Below are 19,167 nucleotides of genomic sequence, written 5' to 3'. Positions count from 1 at the left end.
ACTTCTAATCCTTCATAGACCAATATTTTTGTAAAATACAGTGAGATTAATTATTAGAAAAATAACATAAAGCCAGGCCTGGTGGCTCAAGCTTGTAATCCCAGCACTTTGGGAGGCCAGAGTGGGAGGATCACTTGAGCCCAGGAATTCAAGACCGGCCTGAGCAACATAGACTCTGTCTCAACAGCAACAACAAAAATTAAAAATTATCCAGGCATGGTGGCACATGCCTGTAGTCCCAGCTACTCAGGAGGCTGAAGCAGGAAGATCACTTGAACCCAAAAATTTGGGGTTACAGTGAGCTGTAATCATACCACTACACCCCAGCCTGGGCAACAGAGTGAGACCCTGTCTCTAAAAAAAAAAAAAAGAAAAAAAAAGTTTTTAAAGAAAAATGACATAAAAGTTTTTTTAAATTATTATTGAAATCAACAAATAAATTATTCTGCTGTATTGTTATTAAAAATTTTAAACACATGTCACAGGCTGGTAGCAAATGGATTCACAGACCAGGACCAGTCTGTGGGCCACATTCTGAGTGGTACAGCTGTGGAATCCCCAATATTTGCACCTGATACACAGTACCTCAATACATGTTTGTGCAGTAAATACATGAATGAGACGATTGGAATGATTATAGTAGTAGGCAAGGAAAAAAGGAGAATAGAGGCTCTCTTTGGAGAATTGGAGGGAAATGATTAAGTGAGAAACTCAAGATGACTGCAATAATGCTACCCTCCATGTAAAACAAACTTTTTGTCATCATTCACTCTGAATACTGTTCCTTTGGCTCTCTAGCAAGACAGATAAATACTAATAAATACTCTCTCTGAATTTCTGCAAAATATAGTTTTGATCTTGCTGAATATGTAGAACTTGCTCTAAATGACTGCACAAAGATGTCAACCTATTTATTTAAACTTGCTCTCATGAGCAGATCTATAGTAGCTAGGATTGATTTCAAATATTAACAACTGCTCTTAGAACCAGTGCATTTTTCCATGTTGCAATATGGAGCATACCACCAAATGCTTTCTCTGGCTGCAATTTTCTTTTCTTTTCTTTTTTTTTTAGTAGAGATGGGGTCTCACTATGTTGCCCAGTCTGGTCTTGAACTCCTGGGCTCAGCTGATCCTCCCGGCTTGGCCTCCCAAAGTTCTGGGATTACAGGTGTGAGCCACTGCACCTAAGATCTCTGTCTGAGATTTTCTTGTTTCCTCTGTGTCCTCTCAAAAGATTAGCTGAATAGGGTAAGAAATATTTTTATGAAAAACTTTGAAACAAACAAGCCTTCTACGTCCATTAAGATAATTTTGCGTTGCTTACAGCACTACAAGTCTTCAGTTCTTAAAACCAAATTGTTAGGCCAGGCACGGTGGCTCACACCTGTAATCCCAGCACTTTGAGAGGGCGAGGCAGGAGGATCACTTGAGGTCAGGAGTTTGAGACCAGCCTGGCCAACAGGGTGAAACCTTGTCCTTACTAAAAATACAAACATTAGCTGGGCATGGTGGTGCCCACCTGTAATCCCAGCTACTCGGGAGGCTGAGGCAGGAGAATCACTTGAACCCAGGAGGCAGAGGTTGCAGTGAGCTGAGATCGCACTACTGCACTCCAGCCTGGTCGACAGAGCAAGACTGTGTCTAAAAAAAAAAAAAAAAAAAAAAAAGCGTTAGTCCTTGAATCCACTTCAGATTTAAAAAAAAAAATAGTTTCATTCAAGGGATAGAAAAGAGGAGGTCTACTTTTTAATAGCCACACACATAGCTATACTCAATGGAGATCATTATTTTGAAATATTTAAGCTCACAATATTTAAGTGCAACTTACAACAGGGAAGTTTTGTTATCATAAATGGAATTTTGTTTTCAATGTGGATCAGTACAAATTCAATAACTCAATACATCATCTTCCTTCTCTACTAAGCATATCCCCAAGAGAACATTGTTAGGAAGGGCAAAAGGGCCATTTCCATGGTATATTTGAGGAAGTCTGCTTGCCTTTCTCACCCTGTCATCAGTTCCCTCAGCTCTTCTAGCCCTGGAGGAATGTCGTCACAAAGATACCCAGGACCCTGCAGTTCCCTGGAGCCTTTCTGTTCCCAAGGGTATGTAGTGTGAACAGACCTCTGTCTGAATGTTAGCTCTGTTATTTACCAGCTGTGAGTTCCTGAGAAAGATATTTGACTGCTGGGAGCACCAGTATTTTATGTGGGTATGAGTATTAAATAAGACTGAAAAATAAAAAAGAGGGACTGTTAGCACAGCACGTGACATATATGTTGAAAGTAGGTACTCAAATATTAGCTCTTTTACCCTGACTCTTGTTTCTTTGAGGACTACCTTTAAACTATGAATATAGCTAGATGCCAGATAAGGCTAGAAATATTGTTCACCTTTTCCCTGGCCTCATGCTGTCTGCAGTTAAGTTAAACAAGACTGTTAGAAAGCTAGCCCTGAGAAATGCAAAAATAGTTAAGACTTTATCTGTCTGCATTGATAATGAACCACAGGTTAAGAATTATTGATTCATAGGCCAGGCCTGGTGGCTCACGCCTGTAATCCCAGCACTTTGGGAGGCCAAGGCAGGCGGATCACGAGGTCAGGAGATTGAGACCATCCTGGCTAACATGGTGAAACCCCATCTCTACTAAAAATACAAAAAAATTAGCCGGGCGTGGTGGCAGGCACCTTGTAGTCCCAGCTACTCGGGAGGCTGAGGCAGGAGAATGGCGTGAACCTGGGAAGCGGAGCTTGCAGTGAGCCGAGATTGCGCCACTGCAGTCCAACCTGGGCGACAGAGTGAGACTACATCTCAAAAAAAAAAAAAGAATTATTGATTTATAGCCATTGTTGGGCCAATACAATCAATGGGATTTCCGTTTAGCCTTTGGAGATTTTATAGAAATGGTCTCAGAAGAGAGACCACAACCTTAGTCTTAGACTCATTTCTGTTGTCTCCATTCTAATGTATTCATGGACCAAGTTATCAGGCAACACGCTAGTACTTGAATATGGAAGAGATCATCCACTCAACTGGTATTAGATCTGTTACCTGGACATTGTTAGGGCTTTATCACCTTTATATAGACTGATGTGGTTCAGTAATTTCTGGAGAGCTTGGCTGAGCTAGAAAATAGTGTCACTAGCCTTGCAGCGTGTCCTTTTTATAAATCTGCCTTTTACCCATTAAGGTTATATAAAACTTAAAAATCAAGGGCTCCAAAAGTATATGGGTTTTGACCTGTGGAATACACTAGCAGCATAATCTGATCTGGCATCTTGTATCCTGTAGCATTTGGAAATGTCTTTCTAATCTCATGTGCTAGAGGAACTACTTGTCTTGTACCATGAGTTTAGGGATCATGAGTTATTCATCTTATATCCCTCAGTCTCTCCCTGGTACAAACTGGGTATGCAGGATAGCTGGGGGTGTCATATAAAGTTAAAAATCACAGATGTTAGAATCAGGCAGTCAAAAACCAACTTGACCACTTAACTGGCTTTGTGACCTTTTAGCAATGAAATGAAGCAAAAACTTACCATCCTCAAACCTGTACAGATTCCTCATCCATGTAAGAGCTATAATAATAATGCCTATTTCATAGGGTTATGTGGATTAATTTATACATGAATAATATCTAAATTATTAGCATACTATCTAGTACTCAGTACATCTTAGCCATCATCATTATATAGTAAATAGATACTGAATGTGAAGACTGTATACATTTCTGCCAAAGTTTCATATACCTAAGCGATGTGTAACACAAATCATGTGACAACAGAATTCTTTCCATATCTTGGTAAAGTCTTCCCCTTACTTTCTTCTATTGATTTAAACAGAAATTTACTTGGATGTGACCCATTTGATAAGGACCAGCTGATAAAGTATACCAGCTGATTCAAATAATTGCTCCAGCTAATTTACATGAAGGTTTTCCTATTTTATTGTTTTTAGAAATTATTTTGGAGGTATAAAAGTCTGGTAGTGACTTATGAATATCTTTACATTAAATGTTTACCTTATTGTTCTAAAAAATACTAAACATTTCTCATTTCTATGGGAAAGCCCTCAGGAGAAAAACACTTTTTTCCCTGTTTTGGGGGCTATGTCTCTAGCCTGCCTGGAAGTTTAGAAATTCCCAGAAGGATATTGCCAAGAAGCCGCAAAGGGATGCCATGTTTGAGTTTCTTGCCATTCTTACTGCTTATAAAGAGAAGCATTTGGGCAGTAGTTCACTGTTTGTTGTTAGTTCCTAAAGCACTGCCACGGGAGACTTATACTCCTGGGGTCTCTTCATGTCCCCAAGAGGGAGTTGATGGAAGATGGTTATTAATCTATACCAACTTCAGTTTATTAGCTTTTCTGCTTCCCAAACATGTTTTTGGCAGAGAAATAGATTCCACAGATCCCTTTATAGTGCTTCTCTATCCCTTTCCAGCACTGTAGCCAAGGGTTTATTTTTTCCATAACAATTTTTTAGACATTTGATCTTTTTCTCTCACTGCCTGCTCCTCTTCTCCCCCATGCTTGCTTGCCTTCCTTTGTACACACGAATAATAAGCTCCAATGGCTGTTTTTCCCCCTGAAAAATGTGTTATTCCAAACCTTTCCAATCTCTAAAATCTTATTTCCTAGAAATACCTTTTTCCTTTTTTTCCTCTTTAAAATTGCTTTATTTATTTATTTTGAGACAGGGTCTCACTTTGTCGCCCAGGCTGGAGTGCAATGGCATGAACACAGCTCACTGCAGCCTTGACATCTGGGCTAAAGCAATCCTCCCACCTCGGTTTCCCAAGTAGCTGGGACTACAGGCATGTGCCATCACGCCTGGCTAATTTTTTTTTTTTAATAGAGATGCTGTCTCCCTATGTTACCCAGGCTGGTGTCGAACTCCTGGCCTCAAGCAGTCTTCCTGCCTCAGCCTCCCAAAGTGCTGGGACTACAAGCGTGAGCCACCATGCCTGGCCTAGAAATGTCTTTTAATTCCCAGCCTCAACCCTTTGTTCATCCACTGTGGACCACCCCTTCCTGTCTGGTGGTATAGAGTATGGGCTTTAGTGGCTATAATTTTTTTCTTTTCACTCTTTATGAGAGTTTTCTTTCCTGGTACCCTAAAGCTACTCAAAGTATGGTCCCTGGGGCAGTAGCATTGGCATCATCAGGGAGCTAGTTAGAAATGCAAAATCTCAGATCCCACCCCAATCTACTGAACCAGAATCTGTATTTTAACAAGATCTCCAGATGACTGGTATGCATATGAAAATTTAAGAAATCCCTGTTGTAAATCACCTTTTGCTCAAGGGTCAGGGATTAGGAGACACTTTGTCAAGTCATGGTTCCCCACCCTGGCTTCAGTGGAATGACTTGGGGAACTGTGAAAAATACTGATGCCTGGGTTCCACCTCCAGAGATTCTAATTGGTCTGAAAGGTCAGGTCCAGGAATCAGGAGTTTTAGAAGTTCCCCAAGTGATTCTAATAGGCAGCCAAGGCTGAGAAGCACTGTTGTACATGATTCTTATAATTTGCCCTAGCTTCTTAGAACACAAGGTATATATAAGTTGATGTGGCCAGATGCAGTGGCTTATGCCTGTAATCCCAGCACTTTGGGAGGCCAAGGTAAGGGCATCACTCGAGCCCAGGAGTTTGAGCCAGCCTGGGCAACATAGTGAGACCTTGTCTCTACAAAAAAAAACAAAAAAAAAATTAGCTGGGGGTGCCTGTAATCCTAGCTACTCAGGAGTCCAAGCCAGGAGAATCCCTTGAGCCCAACAGTTTGAAGCTGCAGTAAGCCATGTGCACCACTGCACTATCTATCTACCTATCTGTCTGTCTATCTAAGATGCCGTTTTAGACAGACAGACAGACAGGTAGGTAGGTAGATATATAGGCAAAGCTAATGACTAAAAAAAACTTTTACAATTACATTTATTGGGGAGAAGTATATGTGCATCAAAAATTAGAAATATATACATCAAAATATTAAACCCAGTAATCTGTGGGTTATAAGATTACAGTTATTTCTTTTTTGTCCTTTGTTTTCTTTTTTTTTTAAGGGGCCATGCTCATCTTCTCTGTATCATTCCAATTTTAGTATATGTGCTGCCGAAGCAAGCACTGTCCTCTATTTTCCAAACTTTCTGTAACAGCCATTCCTTTGGTAAAGGAAATATATGTGTAAATATAATTTTTAATAACTGTGATCACATTATACATGTTTTGTAAACTGCTTTTTAATTAAAAAATACTCTTCCTGTTCACATATCAATACATTATGAACATTTTCTCATTATCATTAAACATTATTAGATAGGCTTTTATATTGTTTAAAGTGAATCCTGACCCAGGATAACTGAATTTTTACCTTAATTTTATTTACATACTGATATGGGGATTTAAGAAATTGACTGTTTAGCCGAGCGCAGTGGCTCCCGCCTGTAACCCCAGTACTTTGGGAGGCTGAGGTGGGCAGATCACCTGAGGTCAGGAGACTAGCCTGGCCAACATGGTGAAACCCTGTCTCTACTAAAAATACAACAATTAGCTGGGCGTGGTCGCACGCTCCTATAATCCCACCTACTGGGGAGGCTGAGGCAGGAGAATTGCTTGAACCTGGGAGGCGGAGGTTGCAGTGAGCCGAGATCGTGCCATTGCACTCCAGCCTGGGCAACAAGAGCAAAACTCATCTAAAGAAAAAAAATAAATCGTTTAATACTTGAAACTTTTAGTGTTTGGAAATTGTCCTGGTCCACAGGAGGGGACATGTTTAAAAGGAGATGTCTGTTGGGAGGCTGAGGCAGGCAAGTTGCTTGAGCCCAGGAGTTCGAAACCAGCCTGGGCAACATGGCAAAACCCTGTCTCTACTAAATATATAAAAAATTAGCCAGGTGTGGTGGCACACACCTGTAGCCCCACATACTCAGGAGGCTGAGGTGGGAGGATCACCTGAGCCCAGGAAGTTGAGGCTGCAGTGAGCTGTGATCGTACCACTGCACTCCAGCCTGGGCAACAGGAGTGAGAACCTGTCTCAAAAAAAGAAAAGATATCTGGAAGCGAGGTTAGATTAGCCCTTCTCTAAGGCTTTTACAACAATAGTCAATTGAATACTATCTTTTTTTTTTTTTTGAGCACTTAAACCTAACACATAGAGCTTGACTTCACTTTCTCAGAAGATGCTTCACCACAGGGAATTCTTAATGATGTTTGGATTGCAACCTGTGGCTGGAGTTATATTTCTAAACTTTCTCTTTGAATCTTTGGTTTAGGGCCAGGTGTGGTGGCTCATGCCTATAATCTCAACACTTTGGGAGGCCAAGGTAGGTGGAACACTTGAGGCCAGGAGATAGAGATCAGCCTAGAACAACAGAGAGAGACCCTGTCTCTCAAAAAAAAAAAAAAAAAAAGCCAGGTTTAGTAGTTTGCACCCATAGTCCTAGCTACCCAAGAAGCTGAGGTGGGAAGAATTGCTGGCACCCAGGAGTTCAAGGCTGCAGTGAGCTTCAGTTGTGCCATTGCACTCCAGCCTAGGCGACGGAGTGAGACCCTGTCTTTAACAAATAAATAAACCATTGATTTGGTTGGAATTGTGCTTCAGGACAACCAATATCTCTTACAGTTTGAGTTTCCTCTGCATTAATATGTACATTATGATGTGGAAAGCTGGAAAATCCTTAGAGCAACATCTTGAAAACTTCAATGGTATATGATGGCCAAGCTATGTTGTAATCAAAGTCGAATATGTCTTCTTGCCCAAACCTTTGGGAATAAATACCACTCCAACAACTTCAACAAAAGAAATGGTCTGCCCCCAAAACTTCTGTTCTTGCCCCAGTCTGCTTGCATTATAGGGGAAGAGAGTAATTTTGCTAATGGTCTCTTTACAATGAAAAGAAAAGAGAAATGTTCTGTAATTAGGGAACTTTTATAAAGATGCACAGTGGATTATTCTGCAAGAGAAAAGCTCTGTCATCACATTTTTACCTCTTTTAACCATTTCTCTACCAGAATCTGTACATAAAAGTTTCAGAAGTGCACAGTTTTTATTTTCAGAGAAATAGGCTTTATATATATAATTTTTTTTTTTTGAGATGGAGTTTTGCTCTTGTCACCCAGGCTGGAGTGCAATGGCACGATCTCAGCTCACTGCAACCTCTGCCTCCGAAGTTCAAGTGGTTCTCCTGCCTCAGCCTCCTAAGTAGCTGGGATTACGGGCATGCGCCACCACACCCAGCTAATTTTGTATTTTTAGTAGAGACGGGGTTTCTCCATGTTGGTCAGGCTGGTCTGGAACTCCTGACCTCAGTTGATCCGCCCGCCTCAGCCTCCCAAAGTGCTGGGATTACAGGCATGAGCCACCGTGCCCAGCCAACTTTTTTTTTAGAGATCTTGTGTGGTAGGAAAATAAATATTGGGCATCATGCCTGGCTAACTTTTGTATTTTCATAGAGACAGGGTTTCACCATGTTGACCAGGCTGATCTTGAACTCCTGACCTCAAGTGATCCCGCCCACCTCTGCCTCCCAAAGTGCTGGGATTACAGGCTCGGCGTGAATCACTTTCATAAGCAATCAGCTTCCCCAGAATTGGGAGCCTATGACTGAAATCAGAATTGTCATCGGTTTGAGCACTTTGGTGCTTATAGAAGTGCTTAAGACTTAGTTTTTCTGGGTCTTTTTACAAGTAAGTTGTTCTTTATTTCATTATGAAAAAAAGCACTGTAATTTTAAAAATTTATAGTAGAGATATCTGTCATTTCGGGCTGCTGTAACAAAGTGCCAAAGACTGGGTGGTTTATATACAACAGAAACATTTCTCATAGCTCTGGAGGTTGGAAGTCTGAGATCAGCGTACCAGCATGTTCAGGTTTTGGTGAGAGCCTTCTTCCAGGTTGCAGACTACTGTTTTCTCGTATCCTTATGTGGTTCAAAGAGAGGAGAAAGCTCTCTAGGGTCCCTTTTGTAGGTCACTGATCCCATTCATGAAGATTCCACCCTCATGGCCTCATCACCTCCCAAAGCCCACCTCCTAATACCATCACATTGGGGGTTAGGATTTCAATGTATGAATTTGGAGGGGACATAAACATTTAGTTCATTGTAAGAAATAAGGGTAAAATTTAGTCTTTGGAAGAGAGGATAAGAAAGGTGATAGCAGAGCAAGAAGAAGATTATCCTTTTATCGTTGCTCTGTAACCTTGGCCAGGGCACTTAACCAGTCTACTTTATTACCTTTCTCTTAGTCTCATCACACAATGAGAAACTGCCATTCTTTGGAATAAGTTTTGCTGCATGGCATTAATGGCATTCTCATACAAAAAAAAAAAAGACAAAAGAAGGCTGGGCGTGGTGGCTCACACCTGTAATGCCAGCACTTTGGGAGGCTGAGGCAGGTGGATCATTTGAGGTCAGGAGTTCAAGACCAGCCTGGCCAACATTGTGAAACCCTGTCTCTACTAAAAATACCAAAAAAAAAAAAAAAAAAATTAGCCAGGCATGGTGGTGGGCGCCTGTAACCCCAGCTACTCAGGAGGCTGAGGCAGGATAATCACTTGAACTTGGGAGGTGGAGGTTGCAGTGAGCTGAGATCGCACCACTGCACTCCAGCCTGGGCAACAGAGGGAGACTCCGTCTCAAAAAAAAAAAAAAAAAGACAAAAGCCATTTTCTTCTCACAGCAATGGAAGTGAAGACTATTGAGATGATTTGTTTTAGAGAGATTCTCTTGGGGTGATATGGCTGGCTTTACTCTGCAGTTGGTACATGGTATGGTACATCTGGGGCACTTGTAGCCAGCCTCTGATAACAATAATTGCTGTCTTTGTTACTCCCATTTTCCTCTGTCATGGTTACCTCCACAGGGATCCTCTAAGTTAGGGAGAGGTTTATTCCTCCCTCCTTTATCATCTTTGTCTGATGTGGTCCTATGGTCATCATAACACTTAATTGGGTCCCTGAAAGGCCACTCAACTCTTTTGATGTTGCTGATGTTTGAAGTCTTATGAGAAGCTTCAGACAAGAGTGTGCAAGCTCACCAGAGTGCATAGAGGGGCATATGTGCATAGTATATTCACTGTGCCTGGATGAGAATGGGTGTAGGAAGGAGTGTAAAACAGAAAGGGAAGCCAGAGAGATCTTTGAGCCACAATGTAAACTTTCAATACTAAGCTAAGAAGTTAGCACTTTTCTCTGAACAGTGAAAACCTATTGAAGGTTTTTGAAGAGGAGGTAATGATATGATCCAGTTTGTATTTTAGGACTGGCACTCTGGTCACAATGTATTAGATTGTAAAAGCCAGACTAGAGGGGTTTTTTACATTTTTTATTTGTTATTTAATTTATTTCCATGCAAAAGCTCATCTATGTGAAAGCTAGTGGCTTTTTATATTTTTATCTTTTATTATTTATTTATTTTTATTTGTTTGTTTATTTATTTTTATTTATTTATTTTATTTTTTTTGAGACAGGGTCTTGCTCTGTCGCCCAGGCTGGACTGCAGTGGCACGATCTCGGCTCACTGCAAGCTCCGCCTCCCAGGTTCACGCCATTCTCCCGCCTCACCCTCCGGAGTAGCTGGGACTACAGGCGCGTGCCGCCACGCCCAGCTATGTTTTTTGTTTTTTGTTTTTTGGGGTTTTTTTTGTATTTTTTAGTACAGACGGGGTTTCACTGTGTTAGCCAGGATGGTCTTGATCTCCTGACCTCGTGATCCGCCCACTTCGACCTCCCAAAGTGCCGGGATTACAGGCGTGAGCCACCGCTCCCGGCCGAAACAGCATTTTTAACAAGGTCATGGAACCACCCTTTGAGAAACAATGGACCAGAGACTGGAGGAGAAAAATGAGTTGGGAGGCTGTTGGACCAGTAATATAAAAGAGAAGGCCGGGTGCGGTGGCTCACTCCTGTAATCCCAGCACTTTGGGAGGCCGAGGCGGGCGGATCACGAGGTCAGAAGATTGAGACCATCCTGGCTAACACGGTGAAACCCCGTCTCTACTAAAAATACAAAAAATTAGCCGGGCGTGGTGGCGGGCGCCTGTAGTCCCAGCTACTCGAGATGCTGAGGCAGGAGAACGGGTGAACTGGGAGGCGAAGCTTGCAGTGAGCTGAGATTGCGCCACTGCACTCCAGCCTGGGCGACAGAGTGAGACTCCGTCTCAAAAAAAAAAAAAAAAAAAACTCAAATCTCTCAAATATAATTTCTGCTCTGTATATATCTATCTAATATTTAATATATATATAATACAAGTATAAAAGTAGAATTAGGCCTTATCTCTAAAACAAAAGAGGATGAGCAAAGAGATGAAGATTAATATATGAGCAGCACAAAAGATTGCAGCAGGTTTTCCAGGAATTACAAGGTTTTGAGTGAATAAAACTCAAGTCAAACATTAATTAATACAAATAAGCTTTCAGTTGTGTTTTCCTTTTTGAAGATTTTAGAGAAAGAATAAGATAATAATATATGCTTTTATTAGAGAATTTGAAGTTGTTCATAAAAAGTCACTTCCATAATGTGCCTCCTTCAATCCTGAAGAATTATGGCATAATAATGTCCTACACTTGCTTATATCGTGTTTTATAATCTCTAAACCATTTTTGTAGGCATTTCATATAATCCTGGAACAACTGTAAGGCCTTCATATTATCTGTTGTTTACAAATTAAATCTCAGGCAGGTTAAATGACTGATCTAAGATCACAGCTGCTACGTGATAGAACTTGGACTCCACAGCAGGTGTTCTGCTCTAAACCAACTGTATTTTCCCCTCTCTCAGCTTTTCCTTCTGACTATAAACTAACATACCCTGTGGTTTCTGTCTTACCCCATAACTCAAATGAATTCCTGAGACATGTAAGCATCTCAAATAAATATTTCTAAGCAGATTTCTTAGTGTTAAAATACTTTCATCTTGGTGATAAAAATTTAGGTATCAGAGCACAGTCATTTGATTAAAAAAAGCTGGACTGATATAAATGATTGAATAAAACAAATGGGGAGAAGAGATAAATCTCCAGTGTATAATTCCAAGTAATTCATATAGTTATTTATCCCTCAAGGAAGTAGAGCATAATTCACCACCCCTTAAGTTGTGCCAGATTTAGTAACTCCCTTCCAAAGGGGACAGTGTAGAAAGGAGAGGAAAAGAGTAACTTCACAATGGAAGAAACTGACAGAGTACCCTCAACCAGGTGATGAAGGTTAACATCAGCATCGATCGGTCATGTTGATAGCATGTATCCTTGATATTGATGTGATAAAAATGATACTATCTCTGTGGTCTTCCTCCCAAAAAACCCATAACTCCAGTCTAATAATAAGAAAAACATTAAATACCAGTTTATGGATATCCTACAAAATACCTGACCAGTTCTCCTCAAAACTGTCAAGGTCATCAAAAACAAGGAAAGTCTGAGAATCTCTCACATCCAAGAGGAGCAATAACATCAATATTGGTTCCTTAGTTGTGACAAATGTAAGATGTTAATAATAGAGTAAACTGGGTGTGCAATAAATGAGAACTCTACTATTTTGCAACTTTTCTATAAATCTGAAACTGTTCTTGGCTGGGCATAGTGCTCACGCCTGTAATCTCAGTACTTTGGGAAGCCAAGGTGGGAGGATCACTTGAGACCAGCCTGGACAACATAGTAAGGCCCCATCTCTATAAAAAATGTTTTTAAAAAATTAGCCACACGAGGTGGTAAGTGCCTATAGTCCAGCTACTCAGGAGGCTGAAGTGGGAGGATCAATTGAGCCTGGAAGCTCAAGGCTGCAATGAGCAGTGATTGCAACACTGCAGTCCAGCCTGGGCAATGAAGCAAGACCCTGTCTCAAAAAAAAGAAAAAAACTATTCTAAAATAAATGTTTATTTTTAAAAAAAAAAGACTAGAATAGAATAACACCTGATAAAACAATTTATTTCTTGGTGAATTGATATGAATTGAAATGTTTTAGATTTTCCATCCCTAGATTGGTAATGAGGATTTGGGATAATATCATTAGAGGATTATCTCAGTATCATTAAGAAGTGTCAACTTGCATATGAGCTATTTTGAAGGAGATGAGTGAATAAGTTATTTGGTTCTAACTAGAAGGAACCCATAAAATTATGAGAATAATGTCCATATACAAGGTAACCCTGAATATAATGCATTCTGTCATCTTTGCAGTGAAAAAATATTTTTAAAAAGTGATGTGAGGCCAGGCATGGTGGCTCACTCCTGTAATTCCAGCACTTTGGAAGACCAAGGTGGGCAGATCACTTGAGCTCAGGAGTTCGAGACCAGCCTGGCCAACACAGTGAAACCCAGTCTATACTAAAAAAAAAAAAAAAAAAAAAAAAAAATTAGATGAGCATGGTGGCACACACCTGTAATCCCTGCTACTTGGGAGGCTGAGGCAGTAGAATCTCTCGAACCCGGGAGGAGGTTGCAGTGAGCTGAGATCGCACTCCAGCCTGGGCAACAAAGCGAGTGAGTGAAACAGAGTGAGTGAGACTCTGTCTAAAAAAAAAAAAAAAAAAAAGTGATATGGATGAAATAGACATATATTTTCACATATATAACTAAGACCATAAATTTTATCAAATAATATATGAATTTAAAGATATTGTCCCCCTCTATACCACCTGTCATTTTAAATGAAACATATTGCCCAAATTTTTTAGATGCAACTTTGACATTAATACCGGTACATAGTAGGTTGTATTAGTTTGTTTTAACACTGCTGATAAAGACACACCTGAAACGGGGGAAAAAGGTTTAATTGGACTTACAGTTCCACATGGCTGGGGTGACCTCACAATCATGGCGGGAGGCGAAAGGCTCTTACATGACAGCAGCAAGAGAAAATGAGGAAGAAGCAAAAGCAGAAACCCCTGATAATCCCATCAAATCTCGTGAGACTTATCACAAGAATAGCACGAGAATGACCAGCCCCCATGATTCAATTACCTCCCCCCTAAATCCCTCCCACAACACTTGGGAATTCTGGGAGATACAATTCAAGTTGAGATTTTGGTGGGGACATAGCCAAACCATATCATTCTGCCCTGGCCTCTCCAAATCTCGTGTCCTCACACTTCAAAACCAGTCATGCCTTTCCAACAATCCCCCAAAGTCTTAACTCATTTCAACATTAACCCAAAACTCCACAGTCCAAAGTCTCATCTGAGGCCTGGCACGGTAGCTCACGCCTGTAATCCCAGCACTTTGAGAGGCCAAGGCAGCTGGATCACCTGAGGTCAGGAGTTCAAGACCAGCCTGCCCAATATGGCAAAACCCCATCTTTACTAAAAAATACAAAAAACTAGTCGGGCATGGTGGCAAGTGCCTGTAATCTCAGCTACTTGAGAGGCTGAGGCAGAAGAATCACTTGAACCCGGGAGGCAGAGATTGCAGTGAGCTGAGATCACACCACTGCACTCCAGCCTGAACAGAGTGAGACTCCATCTCAAAAAAAATAAAACAGAGTGAGACTCCATCTCAAAAAAAAAAAAAAAAAAGTCTCATCTGAGACTTTGCCTTGCCTTGGCAAGTCCCATCCGCCTATGAGCCTGTAAAATCAAAAGCAAACTAGTTATTTCCTAGATACGGTGGGGGTACACGTATTGAGTAAATACAGCCATTCCAAATGGGAGAAATTGGCCAAAACAAAGGGGTTACAGGGCCCATGCAAGTCCAAAATCCAGCGGAGCAGTCAAATTTTAAGGCTCCAAAATGAGCTCCTTTGACTCCAGGTCTCACAAACAGGTCACGGTGATGCAAGAGGCGGGTTCTCATGGTCTTGGGCAGCTCCGCCTCTGTGGCTTTGCAGGGTACAGCCTCCCTCCTGCCTGCTTTCACCAGCTGGCGTTAAGTGTCTGCGGCTTTTCCAGGTGCACGGTGCAAGTTGGTGGATCTACCATTCTAGGGTCTGGAGGAGAGTGGACCTCTTCTCGCAGCTCCACTAGGCAGTGCCCCAGTAGGGACTCTGTGTGGGGGCTCCAACCCCACATTTCCCTTACTTACTGCCCTAGCTGAGGCGCTTTATGAGGGCCCTGCCTCTGTAGCAAACTTTTGTCTGGGCATCCAGGCATTTCCATACATCTAAACTCCAGGCGGAGGTTCCCAAACCTCAATTCTTGACTTCTGTGCACCCGCATGCTCAACACCACATGGAAGCTGCTAAGGCTTGGGTCCTCCACCCTCTGAAGCCACAGCCCGAGCTGTACATTGGCCCCTTTTAGCCACGGCTGGAGCAGCTGGGACATGGCACCAAGTGGCTGCACACAGCATGGGGAACCTGGGCCCAGCCCGTGAAACCACTTTTTCCTCCTGGGCCTCTGGGTCCTTGATGGGAGGGGCTGCAGGGAAGTTCTCTGATGTGGCCTTGTGACACATTCTCCATGGTCTTGGGGATTAACATTAGGCTCCTTGCTACTTATGCAAATTTCTGCAGCTGGCTTGAATTTCTCCCCAGAAAATTGGTTTTTCTTTTCTATCACATAGGCTGCAAATTTTCCAAACTTTTATGCTCTGCTTTCCTTATAAAACTGAATGCCTTTAACAGCACCCAAGTTATCTCTTAAATGCTTTGCTGCTTGGAAATTTCTTCCACCAGATACCCTAAATCTCTCTCAAGTTCAAAGTTCCAGAAAACTCTAGGGCACGGGCAAAATGCCACCAGTATCTTTGCTAAAACATAACAAGAGTCACCTTTGCTCCAGTGCCGAACAAGTTCCTCATCTCCATCTGAATTTTATTGTCCATATTGCTATCAGCATTTTGGGCAAAGCCATTCAACAAGTCTCTAGGAAGTTCCAAACTTTCCCACATTTTCCTGTCTTCTTCTGAGCCCTTCAAACTGTTCCAACCTCTGCCTGTTACCCAGTTTCAAAGTTGCTTCCACATTTTCAGGTATCTTTTCAGCAACGCCCCCAATCTACTGGTACCAATTTACTGTATTAGTTTGTTTTCATGCTGCTAATAAAGACATACCCGAAACTGGGAACAACAAAAAAAAAGCTTTAATTGGACTTACAGTTCCACATGGTTGGAGAGGCCTCAGAATCATGGCGGGAGGTGAAAGCCTCTTCTTACATGGCGGCGGCAAGAGAAAATGAGGAAGAAGCAATAGTGCATTCAGAACCCATTGTGGACTCAGTGTTCCCAAGAACCTCTCAAGGGAGGTGCCACTGACACCAGGACCTGAGGCTGTGAAGAATAAGGTTAAGAGTACTCAGGCTGCTTGGTGCAGGTGAGAAGAGGTATTAGTGTATTGGAGAAAGAGTTAAGAGGCTTTTGTGCCTAGGGCATAGTGATTGAGGGGCCTTGTAGACCATGGAAAGAACTCGATTTTTTTAAGTGCAGAGGAAAGCCAGGGATTGACATCTAACTTACAGTTTTAAAAGACCCTTTCCTTCTATGAAGAGAATGGAGAAGGAGGCAAGAATAGAAGCGGGGAAAACCAGTCAGAATGCTAGATGGGAGACAATAAAGAATTAATTGTCATTGATAATAATAATAGCTAACACATGGCTTACTAATGCCAAGGACTGTTGTAGCACATTTTATGAACCAGCTCATTTAAATGTGCTCTTCAGTTAGCACACTCTTTCATTCTTTAAAGTATCATAGGTCGGGTGTGGTGGCTCACGCCTGTAATCCCAGCACTCTGGGAGGACGAGGCAGGCGGATCACCTGAGGTCAGGAGTTCAAGACCAGCCTGGCCAACATGGTGAAACCCCGTCTCTACTAAAAATACAAAAATTAGCCAGGTGTGGTGGCGCATGCCTGTAATCCCAGCTACTCAGGAGGCTAAGACAGGAGAATCGCTTGAACCCGGGAGGCGGAGGTTGCAGTGAGCCGAGATCGCACCACTGCACTCCAGCCTGGGCAACAAAGAGCGAAACTCCATCTCAAAAGAAAAAAAGTATCATCGTTTGGATGATAAATTACACGAAACTATGAACCAGCCAATTAACATTTTCAGAGGAGCTTAACACTTGGAATACTTAGTCTTCCTCCTGTTCTCATCAATTTCAAACTGTCTTGTGAAACTCACTAACCCAGACAGCTATACAGTATTAAAGTAGGAAGAAAACTGTATGGGATCTATCTCCAAATTTTCGGAGACTCTTCCTTTTTGTTGCCTTCTGTCCTGGCTCTGTCTCTTGGTTCTGAGTTGTATGTGGGCCTTTCTGTGTTTTTTCTCAGTCTTTTTTTCCCCTTCACTCCGTCCCTGTGTCTCTCCTGTGTGTGTCCCCCGTGTTTCTTTTCTCTTTCTGCTTTTTGTCTTCCCCATTCCTTCTCACTCTCTGTTCTCTTACCCTGATTTCTCTTTCTTCCTCCTTCAACTGGCCGGTGAGGTACGGGCATGTAGTGTGGATCTGTTTATTATATAAAAAATGATGTTGACTATTTCCATTTAAAACGAATCAAGTCTCTCAGAACCAGTGTACTCATTCCAAAATACTCATAGATGATTGTTACAAACTACTTTAACAGGAGTGTCCAATCTTTTGGCTTCCCTGGGCCACATTGGAAGAAGAATTATCTTGGAGCACATGTAAAATACACCAACGGGCCAGGCACTGTGGCTCATGCCTGTAATCCCAGCACTTTGGGAGACCGAGGCAGGTGGATTGCTTGAGGTCAGGGGTTTGAGACCAGCCTGGGCAACATAGTGAAACCCCGTCTGTACTAAAAATACAAAAAATTAGCCGGACATGGGGGCGGGCACATGTAATCCCAGCTACTCAGGATGCTGAGGCAGGAGAATCACTTGAACCTGGGACGTGGAGGTTGCAGTGAGCCGAGATTGCACCACTGCACTCCAGCCTGGACAACAGATTGGGACTCCGTCTCAAAAATAAAATAAAGTAAAATAAAAATTAAAAAATAAAATACACTGACGATAGCTGATGAACTAAAAAATAAATAAAAAAGTTTTAAGAAAGTTTACAAATTTGTGTTGGGCCACATGCAGCCCAGAGGCCATGGGTTGGACAAGCTTGGTTCAAATCATTTTATTATCCTGTTTTCTACTTTCACATCTCTCAAGGAAATTTACCTAGTACCCCGTTCATCTAACTGATCTCTTCTGATCCCCAATCCTTCCCTTCCCATTCTACCACCCACCTCCTTCACTGCCTTCTATACCTCAAGTCTGCCCCCAGCTCCAGCACCAGACTGCACCTAAATCACACCAGGTCACAACTATTCTGTAAGACACAAGAGGATTTGCGTAACCTGTGTTGAGCCAAGTGTCACCCATTCTTCCATAATATTTATGGAATATTTACTTCCTTTTTTACCTTTCCTAACGCTTAATACTTTGCAAACTATTGGTTTTGTTCTGAAGCTTACTTTTAAGATATTCTTATTTTACATACGAAAGTGCTTCCTTATGTTTGCCTGGTTCCAAATTAGAGGGTACCAGAGCCCGATCTCCTCTAAGCAGGAGGCTTCCCATAGGAAAGGAATGTTCCTTTGTGCTCATCCTTCGTATAAATCACCAGGGAGCTTTTAAATGAACAAAGACCTGGCTGACCCAGAGGGTAGAACTTATAAATAGTACTCCAGCCCCTCCTTTAAAGCCTGTCCACCTAATCCTCCTCTCAAGATTGGAAGTGACTTGACCTTTGAGTCTTAAAACTCAGGCTCTTTTTCTCTAAAAAATCTGGTTAGCAGTAAGCTGTTAAAACAAATATGTTTTTAGCCAGATGATGACCAATCATCAAAGCTTGTCTTTCATTTCTAGCATTTTTAGCCAAATGTTTCCTCGGTTTTTTTTGTGTGTTTTTGTTTTTGTTTTGGCTCCTCAGAAGTCAACTTGAAGTTTCCTCTTTTGAGGACCAGCTTTTCTCATTGTTATTATTTTAAGACATCTACCTTAATAACTTTTATTTCTCCTTACTAATAGACTATTATGGATTTCCATTTTATAAAGATGTTCCCAAATTGCTGCATTTCTACCATGAACTAAGGGCTTCCTTTTCACCCCTAAAATTACAGAACTTAGAGGGGCCTTCAATGGCCTCAATCCCAACGTCGTTGGATGGAGCTCTCTTTGTATTTCTCTAATGCTGTATTGAGGATAAAATCTTACAAAACTTGTTAAGGATTAAAATGTGCAAGGATTATAAAATGATGCACATGATATAGATACTGGTAGATAATTTTC

At 41.6% G+C, this 19,167-nt stretch overlaps 1 protein-coding gene and 1 pseudogene across 2 annotated transcripts in view, besides 1 other annotated feature; one reads left to right on the top strand and one right to left on the bottom strand.

Moving 5' to 3' along the window:
* PDE6D (phosphodiesterase 6D) overlaps positions 1-19,167 on the top strand; it is a 48,850-nt gene that overhangs the window by 17,274 nt on the left and 12,409 nt on the right. The gene's annotated exons all lie outside the window — the stretch shown is intronic.
* Positions 6,059-6,122, bottom strand: RNU6-1342P (RNA, U6 small nuclear 1342, pseudogene; annotated as a pseudogene).
* Positions 13,756-14,050: an enhancer, noted in NCBI's record as "tiled region #13150; HepG2 Activating non-DNase unmatched - State 23:Low, and K562 Activating DNase matched - State 9:DNaseU". NCBI's record gives its function as "activates a minimal TATA promoter and a strong SV40 promoter by Sharpr-MPRA in HepG2 and K562 cells {active_cell/tissue: HepG2 | K562}" and the evidence as "EXISTENCE:reporter gene assay evidence [ECO:0000049][PMID:27701403]".

Source organism: Homo sapiens, chromosome 2 (genome assembly GCF_000001405.40).
Source record: "Homo sapiens chromosome 2, GRCh38.p14 Primary Assembly".
Lineage (NCBI taxonomy): Eukaryota > Metazoa > Chordata > Mammalia > Primates > Hominidae > Homo > Homo sapiens.
Note: the sequence above shows the minus strand (reverse complement) of the source record. Positions and strands in the feature narration are given on the sequence as shown.